The 16,149-nt window shown below is 53.6% G+C and overlaps 1 protein-coding gene across 10 annotated transcripts in view; it reads right to left on the reverse strand.

Moving 5' to 3' along the window:
* Window positions 1-8,732: 8,732 nt before the first annotated feature.
* The window catches only part of GAB4 (GRB2 associated binding protein family member 4), a 46,287-nt gene continuing 38,870 nt past the window's right edge, over window positions 8,733-16,149 (reverse strand). For 4 of the 10 annotated variants that reach the window (XM_011546114.3, XM_017028575.2, XM_047441117.1 and 1 more), the window contains 6 exons: window positions 15,095-15,180; window positions 12,897-13,161; window positions 11,975-12,065; window positions 11,563-11,659; window positions 10,522-10,629; window positions 8,733-9,673 (listed from right to left, as the gene is read on the reverse strand). In XM_011546114.3, the coding sequence (XP_011544416.1) occupies window positions 9,530-9,673; window positions 10,522-10,629; window positions 11,563-11,659; window positions 11,975-12,065; window positions 12,897-13,161; window positions 15,095-15,180 (791 nt within the window). In that variant the 3' untranslated portion in view covers window positions 8,733-9,529. Of the gene's footprint in view, window positions 9,674-10,521; window positions 10,630-11,562; window positions 11,660-11,974; window positions 12,066-12,896; window positions 14,279-15,094; window positions 15,181-16,149 lie in introns of those variants that run through there. The other 6 variants (NM_001366857.1, NM_001037814.1, NR_159481.1 and 3 more) reach the window with 5 other exon arrangements.

Genomic DNA, 16,149 nt, shown 5'->3' on the forward strand with positions numbered 1-16,149 from the left:
GGAAAGCTTGCTCGTGACCACACCACAGACCCCCAGCACCCTCCCATTGTCCTGACTGTAGGATCATGTTCCAAGGGGGTGACTAATTGTCTTGCAAGTTGACTCTGCAAATCTAAAAGTAGAAGATGAAAGCAGGAACATGATTGTGGGTAAGCACCATGGAAGTATAGAATGCCAAACTAATAGAAGGTAGACATATCCTCACCTGACAGATGAGGAAATCCAGGCCCAGGGAGGTTTACAGGTTGAGTCAGAGAGGCTCACTGACCATGGCCAGACAGCAAGTGAGGACGAGCGCTGGGCCTCACACTGAGGTCTTGATGCCACTGGATTTGGCCAATGGACCAGGGCTGTAGCTGCTGGACTCCTGTAAGAACTTATGAATCCTTCATTCACTGCCATGTGACCTGGCCAATTATTTTCTCTATCTGAATCTTAGTCATTTAATCTATAAAATGGGCATACTTTAAGGTGGTATGAAGGGAAAGGTCACATAAAAGGCCCTCACGTCAAGATGAGAAGCTGGACTGTGTTTGCAGGCAGAAGCTGTTGGCACCATTTGTAGGCAGTCTCCCAGGACTCCAGCCAGGTTGGATGTAGTGAAGACGACTTCCCAGAGGAGATGACTGTTTTCTAGCCCAGTTACTGGGCTGATTCTGGTGCCCACTGCCTTGCCTTGTTTCCTCCTCAGGACTTTCATGCTCCCAGTGAGGATTACACTAAGCAGCAATTATGGCAGGAGGCCTGGATCTCACAGGAGAGCAAGCTGACTGGTTTCTGCCCTGAGCTCATGGCCAAGTCAGTTACGGGCAACACTGTTTTTAATCAATGTGGGTGCCCCATGCTGCGTGAACAGCATCCCTCAGGCCTTGCTCGTGGCTTTTGAATAGATGCTGATTTTGCACTTCCTGTCTGCCCTTGGTTCTCTGCATTATGGTCAATGATAGATGGTAGAAAGGAGTGAGAATGTAGGCTGGAGAGAGTGGGTCTTGCTTTGCATTGCTGACATGATCCCGAGGTCTGTGGGCACATGAAGGCCCCAGACGGCCTCAAGCCATTGCCAAGGCAGTAGGTAGCAACGGGATGAGAACTCAAGATGGGCACAAGGGACGGGGCTGCAGTGGGAGGAGGGGTCCTCACTGGGCTGGTTGATATCACTGACTTTTCTCCATGAGTCCATGGTGGTGGATTGTGTCTTCCTGTGTGGAGCTCCCATTCATTCTGGTTTCAGACATATTTTTGTTTAATGCAACAAATGCAGTATTTATTGTCTATGGCTACCTATTCACTTTATGGCTTGCTTAAAAATCACTCAAAATTTCAGCTTTGATTCTGTGAAAGTAAGCTTTGATCCAGGTTTATAGTATGACTTCAAGTCAGTTTCTCCTCTCTGAGCTTCAGGTTCAGCAGAGGAGGTTGGATGTGATCTCCAAGCTGCTGCTACTTGTTCTTCTCAAACTTCCTGGTGAAGGACTTGTTTTTTTCTAATTTTGGTCTGCTGCAGACCATTACTTTTGTAAAATACAATAAAATGACTTACCAAAAAAAAAATGATCCTGTGCTTATATGGCCATGGTAATATCACAATGCTTTACAGGTTTCTAAATGCTTCCTCCATTTCTTGCCTTGCATTGCCTTGGACCAGCTAAGTGGCCCACACTTTGAGAAGTGCTATTCTATGCAGTGGGCTGTTTGGAGAAATGCATGAGTGATCTTTCCAGATTGTCTAGTGAGAAGAGAAACAAAGCTGGGATCTGGAAATCAGCTTGTTCCAGGGAATATGGGCATGAAGAGGATCTCCTTCCTGTCTGCCACAGGGCCACACCTCTGCCATCAGGAGCCAGTCTACACCACCGTGTCCTCTTCTGTCAGGATAATTCTCATACTGATGCCTGCCTTTCTCATTTGAAGGCAGGGGGATAACTTTGGGTGACTCTAGGGCCAGGGTGCTGAGCAGGGACTGCAGGAGTGAACTGGGGCCGTGTGTTGGAGCCAGATGCACTGCCCTGCATAGGTCTGAATGCCCTGTCCCGGGGAAGCAGGGAGAAAGCGGTGTGGGTAGAATAACTCATGGTGGTTCTAGGGCCAGGACCCCGAACAGGGGCTGCAGCAGTGGACTGGGACAGAGGTGGAGCTTGCTGCTTTGCAGGGGTCTGTATGTTCTTTCCTGGGGAACCACGGAGAAAGGGGTGTGGGGGCTGCTGTGGGTGGGATGATGTTGACATGAACTCTGTGGCAGACCAGAGCCCCAGCCTTAGAACCCTGGCATCACAAGATGTTAGGACACACTAATTTTTGGCTCCTGGGGCTATGGGATGTCAGAGCTAGAAGGGACTTCGGGGGTTACCTTGCTATACCGCTTATTTTCCAAACCAAGGTCATTGCTGTGTTTCTGATCCCAAACACTCTGGGCCAAGTGTTCACCTTCTCTTCCTCCAGGTCCCATGCCTCCAGCCTCACCTTGAACTAGAAATGCCTGTTCTGCCTTCGGCCTGGAGGCCATGGGTGAGGAGAAGCTCCTTTGGGGCCTTTGCTTACCCTGGGCACTCCTGCTTTTTTGTGAAGCTTCAAACACTCTTGGCTTCATTTGAGAACAACTCACAGCCTTTTATTTCCAGGCTGCAGTGGCTCTTTGCCTTCCTGGATCACAGCCAAGTGTGTGCAGGGGGAGGAGTGGGTGGAAAGGAAGCTCTGGTCAGGCCTCCACAGTGACACCCTCCCTGCCCCAGGACCTACCTGCATCTGACTACAAGAGCCTACTTCATGGAAGAAGCTATTGAGCCCTTGTCCATGCTAGCACAGGTTCATGACAGAGACTGTGGGGCCATGGCAGGGCCCCCTCGAGCCCCATTCTGTACTGCTGCCCACATCTCTCTCTCCAGTGATTCCACCTACTGCATTAAGTCTGGGGCCTTCATGTGCTGTAAGTATCATTCATCTACTGTGACCTCTGAGCACCCACATTGCCAGGCATCCCTGGGCTGTTGAGGGTACAGAGGTGAATGAAGAAGGTGAACAAGAAGGGGGAGAATGGCCTGGGACCAGGGACCCACAGGACACCACTACCCTCTCTGTGAAGGCGCTGTGTGGTCTCCAGCTTTGACTTGAACCTGGTCAACTACTTCCTGTTCCCTCAGGCTGACAGCAGAGAACCGCTGCTCCAGCGAGGTGGGTGCTGTCCTGAAGGGTGTTGAACAGGCAGGGGCCTGAGCCAGGCGCCACACTACCTCATCCAGAGATTGCTGTGCTTCCCCTTCAATGCAGGAACTGCAAGATCCTGGGTGACATCACTGCCCCACTTGCTGGTGCCAGGCCAGGACTGTGGACTAGCACTGAACCAGCACTCTCTGGAGTGTCCCAGGAGAGCCGTCCCAACCACTGCTAAGCCCGCAAGGGTGCTGCCGCCTAGGCCCTATGGGAACTGCCCACACAGGTGGCCTTCTCCTGCTGTCTATCTGCAATGTCCCCTCCCTTTTACCCAAGGAAGGTCTGTGTGCTCTTTTACCAGCAGTGGCCTAGGGAGGGGCCCAAGGCTGAGCCGGGCTCTCCCAGAGTCTGGACCATGTCCACCCTCCATAGGGCTGAACGGAAGCCATTTCCAAGGACAGCAGCATCCTCACCTGTGGAAGAGCAGACACACCAGGATCCTGGATTTGATCTCCTGGGTGGAGATGCATCCAGTCCCAGCCAAGCACTGGTTCGATACAATATTTCCCTTCACTTTGAGCCTTTTAAAAAAATCCATCCATCCATTCATTCATTCATTGCTCAGTGCTCGGAATATATCGGTGGCCCAGGCACCTAACCCCTTACTTCAGAGGAACAGACTTTGAATAATGAATTATGCAGTTGTTTAGTAAGTGTGCTGTTCTACGAGTGTGAATGGCCAAGTGTCAGTGGGAGGTTAGTTCTACCTCCTAACTGTGCCTGTGACTCCACCCTTTAGAGTTAAGGGTGGTATCAAAATATTTAACAACTGGAACAGCAAAGGCTTTGGCCAGCAGGATGAGTTTCAGCCATGGACAGCCAGAGCAGTAGCTGAGGGCTGAGCGAGGGCAGTCCAGTGATCTTCTTGTGCCTTGACCATGCTATAGCCTCTTTTCTATGAAGAGAAAGACCCTTGTTCTCAAGCAGTATGAAACCAGCCTCTCTGAAGCCTTTGAAAGCTGTTGCTCTTCCTGTATGCTGTACCCTCGATTTCCTCACTGCATCTGGGCAGCATGATAGGGACCCATGCTGCTCCTTGGTAAGGAGAGGACATACCCCTGTCCCCATCACTTGAGGTACAGCATGGAGTGACAGCCCTGTGTGCTGAAGGACTTGCCTAGTTCTGAGGCTGGGAGGACCTAGAGGATGGAATGGAAGAGAGAGGAAGGGTGCACAGGATGGGGGGTCCCAGTGGAATACTGTGGAGGGGACTCACCTCTCAGGTGCACTTGAAACCCAAATAAATAACTGGAAATGTTTCAGACCCAAGAATTCTGGACTGCCCACAAACACCTGTTGCAGATGCCACATCCCTCTTTCCTTGCATCTGAGAAGCTGGGGAGGTTGAGAGGGGGTTGTCACATCTCCAGAGCTGGACTTGGCATGGGTCAGGGCTAGCTGGGAGGCAGCCCCCTGTTTCTCCAGAACTCGAACCCATCTCCTTCCCATGGACACCATCCCATCCAGGAGCTGGAGAGGAGCACATGAGCAGCCACACTGGCAGGGCCCAGGACCAGCTGTCACCACAGGGCCATGGTGCACCTACCATGCCTACACCTAGCTCCTTACCACAGGCAACAACCCAGCCTGGAGCTAGAGAAACGCAGGAGCAGCCACACTCGCAGAGCCCAGGATCAGCCCTCACCACAGGTTTCCCACTCCAGAGCCCGCACCCGGCTCCTTTCCTGGGCCCCACCCCATCCTGGAGTTGAAGCAGAGAAGTGGGGCATGTACGGGGCTTGGGAGCAGCCCTTACCACAGGGTCCGCAAGCACCATTCCTACAGTGCCATTTGGGAGAACATGGAAGGTAAAAAGGCACCAGGGACCTCAAGGGCTGCCCCACTTGTGCAGTGGGTGGAGCAGTGGAGGGGAGTTGTGAGATGTCAGACCTCAGGAACCTGTTGCCAGGGGCCCAGTGGACACAGACACAGATGAAGCCCTCTCAGAACCACCTCTAGACTCCCTTCTAAGAAAGACGGATTGGCAGGTGCTAGCACAATGTCCAGTTTACAGATTAGGAAAGTAGATTCTGTGATAAAGAGAATTTATTTTCTCTCTGAGCCAGGAAAAGTACCTATTTCCTATTTAAGATGAAGTGAACAGACTGGCACAGTGGCCTTCCTGGGTCATTGGAGAAATGATTCTGAAATGGTTTTCTTGTTGACAGTGTGTGTCTGTGCCTGCCCAGGGCAGCCAGGTGCTCAGGCTCAGCCTAAGGTGAGACTTGAGTGAGTGTGGGCTCCACTCCCAGAAAGACCCAAGCAGCCCACCCTGGGCTGTATTCCTCATGAACTTCACTACCGTCCTGCTCCAGTGCTTCAGTACAAAGGAGCCTGCCAGCACGAGGCCTGTCCAGTGACCACAGCAGAAATGATAGCCTCTTGAGCACACTCCTGTCACCCCCAGGTGTGCTCACAGGGTAAATACACATAACAAAAGTTTTAAAAGAAAATGGAATAACTTCAGTGATTAGGCACCAACAGTGATTTGAAAAATGAAATGTCGGCCGGGCACGGTGGCTCACGCCTGTAATCCCAGCACTTTGGGAGGCTGAGGCGGGTGGATCATGAGGTCAGGAGATCGAGACCATCCTGGCTAACAAGGTGAAACCCCGTCTCTACTAAAAATACAAAAAATTAGCCGGGCGCGGTGGCGGGCGCCTGTAGTCCCAGCTACTCGGGAGGCTGAGGCAGGAGAATGGCGTGAACCCGGGAAGCGGAGCTTGCAGTGAGCCGAGATTGCGCCACTGCAGTCCGCAGTCCGCAGTCCGGCCTGGGCGACAGAGCGAGACTCCGTCTCAAAAAAAAAAAAAAAAAAAAAAAAAAAATGAAATGTCAATTTTAAATGGTACCAAGACAAGAACTTAAGACTGGGCTTCTTGCCCATTTTCTCTTAATGAGAAACCAAACATTCTGTACAAAATGATTCTAAACAGCAAGATACAAGTAGCCAACAAATACACAAGGACACACACCGCTGGACCAAACATACCAGCCTGACTCTGCAGTGGGCTCTCAGCAGGCAGACGGCCATCGTCCCAGGCCTCAGGGGCCTGGTGTATCCCAGAATGATGCTCTTAGTGCTCTGCAGGTCAGCCTCCCCTCCCCCACACTTCCCAGATCAAGGCCCAGGCCCAGAACAGAAGTGCTCACTTCCCTGTCCTGCATGTCCCTGGGGGTCACAGTCATGTGGGTGATGCTGTGCCAGGGCCTGGGACTAAGATGACAGCCTCACAGCACGTTGAAGGACCACAAGGCCGACTACAGCTGAGCCTATGTTCCCATAACCAGAATGGTTGTGCTTCTGCCGTAGGAATGTGGTCTATTTTAATAGTTTGAAATGAAGAAGTTGTCCATATCAAGCCAGAAAGGGACTAATTGGCCAAAGCTCTCGTGCTGCTCATCCCTTGCGATGCAGAGCCTCCAGAGAGAAGTAACAGAGCAAGGAGCTCCGAGACCAGCAGAGCCTCAGCCTAGGAAGGGGCCAGACAACATCGAATCCAACCACCCACTCCACAGATGGGAAAGCAAAGTCCTAGGGAGATGTCCTTGCCCGTTTCTCATTGTTCCCACCTGACTGCTCTCTAACTTTGCAGGTGGTGGGGGTGGGTGAAGACGGCTCCCCTGGAGAGCCCAGCAGGACAAGCCCCCATGTGAGCTGCACTGGCTGAGGTGTCCCTTTTTGGGGTCTCAGTCCTGGCCAGGCCACCAGGGGAGGTGGACTTTAACCTCAAGATAGGTCCAAGGACCCCTGTATTAAGCTGAGTTGACTTTTCCTTCTGGGATGGTGGGTGGAGGGGGGGATACATGCTAGACATGGCTGGAGTCCAGGCTTGGGAGTAGAGCTCTGCTTCCAATAGGCCAGTGTCCTCTTCTCTTGTCCTTCTTTCCATCTCCACCCCTACTTTCACCCTCAGGGTTTGGTGGTCACAGGAACCAAGAGCTGGAAGGAACCCCTCTGGAGATGGGACTTGAACACCTCAGTCTCTGAAGCCTCCACCAAGTTCATGCACACCATGCACACTCAGAACATGCAGCACTTTCTTAGCAGCCTGGGATCAACAGGGAAGGTGGCTGGGCTGGGAGCTGAGATCAATACTGGGCCCCACTGTAGTCAGCTGGGGACAGGGGATGGCAGTTAAGAGCTGTGCTGTATGGGACCCCTTGTAGAGGACCTTACAGGGACACAGTCAGGGCTGGGCCAGTGAGCCAGCACCCTGCACACTCTGCCCAGTGTGGTCACACAGCCATCACCATTCCACCCGTGGGAGCACAAAGGCCCGGCCCCTGCAGTTCTGAGCAGCTGGACCTGCCCTCCAAAGCTCCTGTGGCCCCTCAGCACAGGCTTTTCCAGTCTGTCGTTCCTTCCTCCACTGCAGCCTGGCCCTGCCCTCCTTCCCTGCAAAAATCTGACCTAACCTCTCAAGACTAATTCAGGCACCCCTTGTCCTAAAAACCACCTTCTCTGCCTCCACTCCCTGAGGAGTTTTCACTTCCTGTGCACCCCATCAGCATCTTCAGCCTATCTTGGCCATCACCACTGTCTGTGTCCTTGTCCTTTCCCTCACTGATGTGACCTTGTCACGTTTGGGAAAAGGTCTAATAGATTCCCCGTGTCCTCAGTGCCTAAGCCCGGGGCCTTGCCACCTGAGCCTTTGAGCTGCCAGGGGAGAGGGCTCCTGCTGAGGGATGGATCCCCAGAAGCCAGCCAGGCCCCTGGTCTGGTGAAGTGTGGTGCTCACAGGTGCTGACAGGGTGTGGAGGCCGCCTCCATCAAACCCTGTGGGCAGTCATTTTTTGGAGGAGGAAAGTCTGTTCACCCCAAGGTAGGATGAAGTGTCCGCTCTGCCCTGTTCATTCTGAAACTCTTCGAAATTTTGGTCAAAAACTTTCAACAAAAAATTCAGATCCCTACCTGAACTTTGGCACAAGAAGCCCTGGGTGAGGGCCTACCTTCTGAACCTGCGATTTGAGAATCTCTCAAGTCACAGGAGGAGGAGACTGGCTTCTCCTGTCCCCATAGCCAAGTTTGAGTCCAATGTGGCACTGGAACGCCAAGGAAGAGGGCGAAGTGAGAGGGAAACACGGCCTGGCACAGCCTCAGCCCCACCCCAGGCCGTCCTCCCTGCAGGCTCTACCCGCGTCCCAGATGCCCCTCCAGCTGGCCTCCCACACTGCTCCCATGCATAGCAGACCCCCCTTCACCTTCTGCTCCTGTATTCCTTTCACCACTGATGGCATGCCCCCAGGGCCCCTGGCCACATTTCCCCACTTCTCCCTGGCTGTCTCCCCGGCCTTGCCTCCCATGGGTTCCCTCTGTGCCCTCCCCACTGCTCTGCCCCTTCACAGAAGGTCACGTGCTGCACCACCTGCACTGCGGAGTCCCGGGCCCTGCCTCGGGCCCCTGCCTGTCCCAGGAGCCCCTCAGCCCTGAGCCATCTCCATCTGCACATGCTCCCTTCCTCCCTCACTCCCTGCCCCATCCCACCCCTCACCCTGCAGGTATTTCCCCCATCAGTTGCTGCTTTGCCCAGCTCAGATCAAGCCTTCTTAGGCAGGCAAGGGCCCCCCAAGGGGCATCAGCAAAGAGCAGCAGAGCCAGCCTGCAGCTCCGGATTTCTGGGGCCCTGACCCTGGTCCTTGTCACCCCAGTCTCTGGAGCTCCAGCCCTGCTTCTTGTGGCTTTCGGCTGTTCGTCTTCATGTTTTCCCTTCCTTTTGCCCTTCCCTCTCTGCCTCTCCCACCCGGGAGCAGCTGCCATACTCTGGCCTCAGTCTGAAAGTGGGAGCCCTTGCAGGTATCAGCTGCCCTGCTGGTCTAAGGATCTAATTCCTTTGCTTCTCAAGACCACCTTTAACCTTCCTTCTCAACTATTCCAACGTTTGATGGCCTTGCCTCTCCCCTGACCAAAAAATGCCAGGGCTGAAAAGGTCCATGTCCACTGTGGCCTGTGGGCCTTGGGTCCCCGGGTCAGCAAGGTAGCTCCTCATGTTCCAGGATTGAGGGAAACAGCCCAGAGGCTAGAAGGAAGAGGCTGAGGACCATGAGTAAGTGTGAGAGTGGAAATCTGTTGGGAGCCCGGGTCTGAGGGGCAGGAAGAGACTGAGGATGCTTGCTGGCAACTGCTCCTAGCAAGGGGGTGAAGGTGGGGACCATGGCCAGCCAAAGGCACAGGTGGGCCCCAAGCAGGCAAAGGATGTATATTGATCAGGCCTCTGCTCTCTATGTAAGGGATGCGGTCCCTGATATTACAGAGCTTTAGAGTGTGGCGGAGCAGCTCTGAGGCACTGTCCTGGCCCCACTCTGGTTTTGGTGGCCCGAGTCACAGCTTGGCGCCCCTGGGAGGCTCTGAGGACTGCCGCAGGCACATCTGTTCATGCATGGTCTTCTGCAGGGCCTGGGTCTTCTCCAGATCCACCTGGACATAGTCCACCTTCTTGCCGGACGTGACAGAGCCTATGGATGGCTGAGGGACAGAGGGTGGAAGTGGGAGTGGCAGTGTCTGTGAGTTCCTGGTGAGGAAGGGCAGGCCAAGGAGTGGGCTCTCTCAAACTTTCTCAGGGGGAAGGAACCTCTGCCTCCTGCTCTCAGCAGCCTGGGGGGCCTGGGCTTTAAAGCCTCAACTCCAGGCTAACCTCTCCTCCTGCTGGATGCCATAGCCCTGGCCAGCACTTCTCATCTCCCACCTCGCAGGAAGAGCCAGGCCCTTCTCTGGCCCAAGGACTGGCCAAGGCCTTCCCCTCTAAACACTCATCCATGGCAGGAAATTTCCCAGGTGTCAACAAGCACCAGCCTAGGCCTTTCCAGGGGTGCCCTTGGTGAGCCCTATCTCCCCAAGGGGCGCAATGCACAGAGATGGAGCTCTCCACCCTGCTGTCTAGACAGGCTGGCTACATGTGCTTTCTCGGGAGGCTTTCCTGGACCCAGGAGTTCCTTCTGAGGTCCCCCGCATCAATGGCCGGGCTCTAGAACCCTCCCACACAGTGAGTTCTCCTCACAGAAGAGTTTGGCCTGGAGCCAGGTTGCCGGTCCTGGGTCTCTCCTGATTTATTCCACAACCTCCACAGATCAGGTCTCCACACAGTCATCTGTCTCTAATGGGGAGTCGGGGCAGGCTGATGAAGGCACCACGCTGAGAGGGAAGGAACAGGAGCCCCGAGATCCAGATCAGAGCACCACTGAGCATAAGAGCCAGGCACTGGGCTGGGAGTGGCAGCCCAGCAGCCCAGTGCTGCCGGTGCTGAAGGGCCTGGCCCCACAGTCTCTCCCCCAGGGCCCAAGGGCTCTGCCCAACCCCAGCTCCACCCCAGGCACCTTGCTCGGCTGGAAGTCCAGGGCCGCGTAGTGGATGTTACCAGTGCTCCTCGGCGGGGCTGAACTGCTGGTGCCACCGGAAACAGGAAATGCAGATGCCGGGTTCTGCTGTCACAAGGAGGAAAATCCTGCAAATGAGTTCAGGACACAGACCCAGCACCCAGTGGAACACACCTGTGGGCGTAGCTACGAGCCCACTGGGTCCTACTCTGAGCCATGCACTGGGGCACTCTCTGCTCATTCAAACCCTTTCAGCAGTCCTGTGAGCCAGGTGTTACTACTGTGCCTCTCCTTCACACACTGGATGCTGCACCCAGTCAGTCATCTGAAACTCCCACCCATGGCCCAGAGTAGGTCCATCCTATGAAGCAGCTGCCTCCCCCTCCAGCTCCCAGAGATCGGCAGTGCCCACCACCTGAGGCTGCATGGAGCCTACCCCCTTGGCAGCTCTCCAGGAGACACGCAGGGTCCCGCAGCCTCCTCTCTAGAAGGCTGCCACCTTGCTGGGACATTCCTGAAGTCTGGCTCTGGTGAGAAAAGTGGCCGCCCTGGGCTCTGGGTTTTGGCTGCTTTGCTGGCTGGCTCATTCTTCCAATATCTATGCAGCAACTATCAAATGTTGGTCATGATGCCCTCTTCAGTGCCAATCTAAGGGGCATCCTGTGTTCCACCTGCATCTCCACGTCTCTCACAGCCCTCACCAGGGTGAAGCATGTACATGTGTGTCTCCCCATGGCGAAGCAGACACCTCCAACTCTGCCTCTTCCAGGGCAGGGCACCACCTGTATCACCGTCATGAGGGCGAGGTGGGCTGCCTCTGCTCTTCAAGTTCCAGACTTCCTTGAGGGGAGACCATCATCTTCCTAACCCTAATGATTGCCTGATACACCTGTGCTCAAGAAGAGCTTGCAATAGGAGACCAAATCACACCTGACTGGGCTGGGGTGAGTCAGCTGAGGTAGCTAAGCTGGGAAGCGGGGACATGAGTGTGGGTCCCAGGGGACTCTGATAGGAGCCTTACAGTGACCCCCAAGGACTCACCGGGAAAAGATACCTCTCTCCACTGTCTTCTGAGTCTGTGTTGGTGATGCTCTGCGTGGAGATGGGGTGTTGGGAGGAGCTGGAGTCAAAGGTGTGGCTGTCATGGGAAGAAGGCAAGGAGTACATCCTGGGTGGGGCTCAGGGCTGCTGTCAGGGCTCCAGCCTCCAGCTGGGCCCTGACTTCAAGCATCCAGGCCTCACACTGTTACCAGATCAAGAACTGATAGGGACAGGGATCATTATTCCCCCTTTACAGATGAGAAGGCCGTCACGCCTCATGAGACGGAGACAGGATCAGCCATGTCCACATCGACATGAGCATCCAGTTATCCTGACCACAAGCCAATGACCATCCCACTCACTCCTCCACCGGCCCGGTCCCAAGCTCCTGTTTCCACTGACAGACACTCACCTGGTCCCAGACCAGGGCTCTGTGACAGGTGGCTTGAAGGAGAGCTCATTGATGACCCTGTTGTTTCTCAGGTTGGGCGGTGTTGGGTTGGCTGGAGCAGGAAAAGAACCTTGTCATCAGCCAGTGATGACACCACACCCATGTCCACTTTGCTACAAGGCCCAGGTGTGCTTAGAAAGGCCCACCCCGTCCACCCAGTCCACCCAGCTGTGTGCGGGGGACTGAGGCTTGGCAAGGCTCTATCGGCTGGGTCATGCTGAAGGGCCTTAGAGTTCTGTTCTCAGATTCCAGATCGTATGCTCCTCCCACTGTATCTATAGCCACTGTATTTTCAGAATCCAAAATGGGGACTCATAGTCTGACAATAGATTTTTCTGCCTAAATTTGACTTGATATAAAAAACAGACACAATGTTTGAAATGGATTTAGTCCCCATGCCTGCCCCTGCTTGCCTTGGACAGGGCTGTGTAGCCCACCATGGAAGCAGGTAGACACCATGAGGTGCTGAGGCTCCAGCGCCACTCGCTGGGTCTGGTTCCCTGTGGCCAGACCCACAGGACTGATCCCCACCCAGTTATCCCACTCCTTCCTTGAACCCCGTGCTGGGCCAAGGCCACAGGGTGAGGTCATGGCAGCCTGGAACCTGAGCTCTAGCTCTTCTTCCTGGTCTACACGTGGAGGGCACAGACCAAACTTCACTGGACACCTGCTGTGAGCCAGGGCCACTGTCCCAGACACTCTCCTTCCAAACAAACCCGGGAAGTAGGAGTTACTATCTCCATTTCACAGAGGAGAAAACTGAGGCTCAGAGAATTCACATGACTTGCCAAAGTCAGACGTTCCACATCCAGGATCCACCTGACACCTAAGCGAATGCAGAGTCCCTGGACATTGTCAAGAAATAGAATGGGGAAAGACTTACCCTTCTGGTTAGGCTTGAGGCTGCGGTTGACAGGGGGCAGCTGGACCTCATGTCCCTGGCTGAGGTCTTGGTGCATAGAAAGCTCTGTGAGTGGGGAGCCAAGCAGGTCAAAGCGAACAAGACATGAGCCCACAGGGATGCAGACACCCTGGGAATCATCGCCTGCTTGCTTCACAGCCGGCAGGGTAGGGGAGCCTGGGTTCATGGGCACACAGCTGCCCTCAGAAGCAATGCTGTCTGACAGGCCCACAAGCGTTCTTCCTGGCTAGGAAGAGGACAGTGAAAGAAACACAGCTATCACCAGCAAGAACAAGATAGGAATGAGAATTTCTAGACAAGGCCAAAAAGAGTCATGACGGGGTGTTTTGAACGAAACTTTTGATCACCTTGGCTGGGGGCTGCTGTCTTCAGCAGCCACCTGCGGCCCAGATAGAAGTGCCCCAGCCAGGAACCCCATGGATGGGGCCCCTCTGGGCAGCCTCAGGGGTCAGACTTTGGAGCAGCTTCCATGACACAGTCAACATGTAAAAGTGGAAGAGTTTTCAGTTCTTACAGGTCCTGGGAGGTTAGGGAGTAAGAGGAGAGAGGGTGGCAACTGGAAGTGTATCTTGCAGAATGGGGTGTGGGATCACTTAATTAAGGTCAGAGTAAATGCCTGGATGGTCCATTTAAAGGGAGCAGCAAGAAAGTGGCGAGCCCAGTCTGCTGCATGGGGGAGGTAAGTCTAAATTCCCATCTCTGGCCACTGACTGAAGCCACATGGGTGTGGTGTAGAACTGGAAACCATCAGGGAGACTAAGTCCTCTGCCTCTGGTCTGAGAAAGTTAAAACTCCATTCGATGTGGATGCCAAGGCAGCATACAATTATAAGAGTTCACTACATGGGGAGGGCTACACTTTGAAGCTATCAGAGTGACCTTGGAAAGACTCTGAAATCAAAGTAGAGGCAAGAAAAAAATGAGATGTCTGGGCACTTCTAGCTCTCAGGACCCCTTGGGGTCCAACTACAATTTGTGACAAATCTATGGGATAAAATATCTTTAGTGGCTGGGTCCACTCAGGTTTCTGGATGCTGGGCCCAGGCAGAAGGCAGCACAGGCCGTGCACCATGCAGGTGTGGCTCAGCACCCAATGTCCACGTGGGTTTCCGGATGCCGGAGCCAGGCAGAAGGCAGCACAGGCCATGCACCATGCAGATGTGGCTCAGCACCCAATGTCCACTCAGGTTTCTGGATACCAGACCCAGGCAGAAGGCAGCACAGACCATGCACCATGCAGATGTGGCCTCGAGACCCATCATCCACCTCAAGTCCTGACTCGGCACTGGCAGGTCAGCATCTCAGGCCCTGATCAAGGCAAGGATCACATCAGATGTCTTGGCCCTGGAAGGTGACGTATGGGGTGAGGTGCACTTCCCCAGACAAGGAGATTCCTCTCCCCCAATGGCTGTGATTAGCAGACAAGGTATCAGGGAGGTATAGGGAGCCTGGGGCTCACTCGGGCTCCTGGGTGACCACCAAGCTGCAGGCAGAGCTGCCACAGAGTTGCGCAATGCAGCAGACCTAGGTACAGCCTTCCTCCAGCTCCTGCCTCATCTGCCCTCTGCCTTGGTTACCTAATTCCCACCATCTTTGTAAGAAGCCTGACGCCAGGCCTTGTTGCTTGTCTGACACCTTGGAGAACTGTGGTTACCCTTTCCAGGTGGCAGCCTGGAATCCATCCACCTCACCTGACTCTGAGTACTGCCCTTGCCTTGAGGCTCACACAGAAGCACCCCTGCTCCAGAGGATCTCCTGGATAAGGTTGCTGAATCAGATCACCCACCACCCCAGCAGCCTGTCCCCTCTGCCTACCCATACCAAAGGCTCACAGGGAAGCACTCCTGCTCCAGGGGACCTCATGGGTTAGAGCACCTGCTTAGAGCACCCAGAACCCCAGCATTCTGCACCCTCTGCTACCCACAGGGCTGGTAAGACTTGTGATCCCATCTACTTAAGTACTCACTTTCTTCCAGACCTGGATACCAGTATCTCACTTATCCAAAAACTGAACCTATGGTTCTGAACTGAGGCAAGAACCTAGGCAGCCTCCTAGGAGGGAGATGCTGTCACCCTTTGGGGGATGTGCTTTTAGTTCCATGGAGTGTGACCTTTACCTCCCTGAGCCAGTCTGGGGACCCCTGGTTAAGCCATACTCACCAGGAAAGAACAGACTCCCTCATGCATGGACTCAGCAGGCCGGCTGGCATTCCCTCCACCATGCTGGGTGTACTTGCCGGAGGAAGCTACGACAGAGGAAGGAGATCCACATGCATCACAGCTGATCCATGTGTTGATGCCTCCCACGCCCTCCCCAGTGCTGCTTAGGGTCTCGCTGATGCTCTAGAGGACACGACTCTCAACCCCAAATGACAAAGCGTTACCTCTAACACATCCCTGCTCCCTACCACAACTCCTCCTGGGCTTCCAGGTCCAGCTCCAGTGTTACCCACACAGTGTCCCTCCTGGATGCCTGCCCTCAGGACACACCTTTTCCTTCAACTCCTACAGCACCCACCACCCATCCCTTTCACCCACCTGCCACCTCCAGGAATAGTAAAGAGTGCTTATACTGACTTCTGCATGTCGGTTTCATTTTATTTTACACATAAATGTGAGCTCTGAACAGCAAACATGTTTTATATATACCTCTATCATTTCAATTTCACAGCACAAGGGCCTTGCTCAAATTGCTGAAACACTAAAAAGACTGCAAAGAACTCTAACCCAGGATCCAGGACCTCAGGGTGAGGCTCATCTTTACCACTTATGACTTTCAACCCTGAATAAGCCTAAGTACCATGGGCCTCATATAAAATGGAGAAAACAAGGCTTTGCCCCACCAGACTCTCTCATAACAGGAAGAATAAACAAAGGCTTTGCAAGGTATAAGAATGGATGCAAAAGGAAAGGAGTTACTATTGATCTATTTGTTTTCATTGAGGAGAGGAGGTTATATGCAGATATAAAATACTCTCAGTGGAAAACAAATGAGAAAAGAATCTAGGTATTTCAAATACAAGTTTAGGCTTCAAACAAAGAGACCCAAATATAGGCTGGAAAATATTTTGAAGATCTCATTTTGTTTCAACAGTCTGTTAGTCCACACTGGTTTGGCTCTAGTTTTGGACTGATCTCCTAAACTTCTGTTTTAAGTCTTTACTCGGATTTAAACATACATACACTATGATGATTTAGAATTCCAAACCCATAAT

The sequence above is a fragment of the Homo sapiens genome, chromosome 22 (genome assembly GCF_000001405.40).
Source record: "Homo sapiens chromosome 22, GRCh38.p14 Primary Assembly".
NCBI classification, from domain to species: Eukaryota; Metazoa; Chordata; class Mammalia; order Primates; family Hominidae; genus Homo; species Homo sapiens.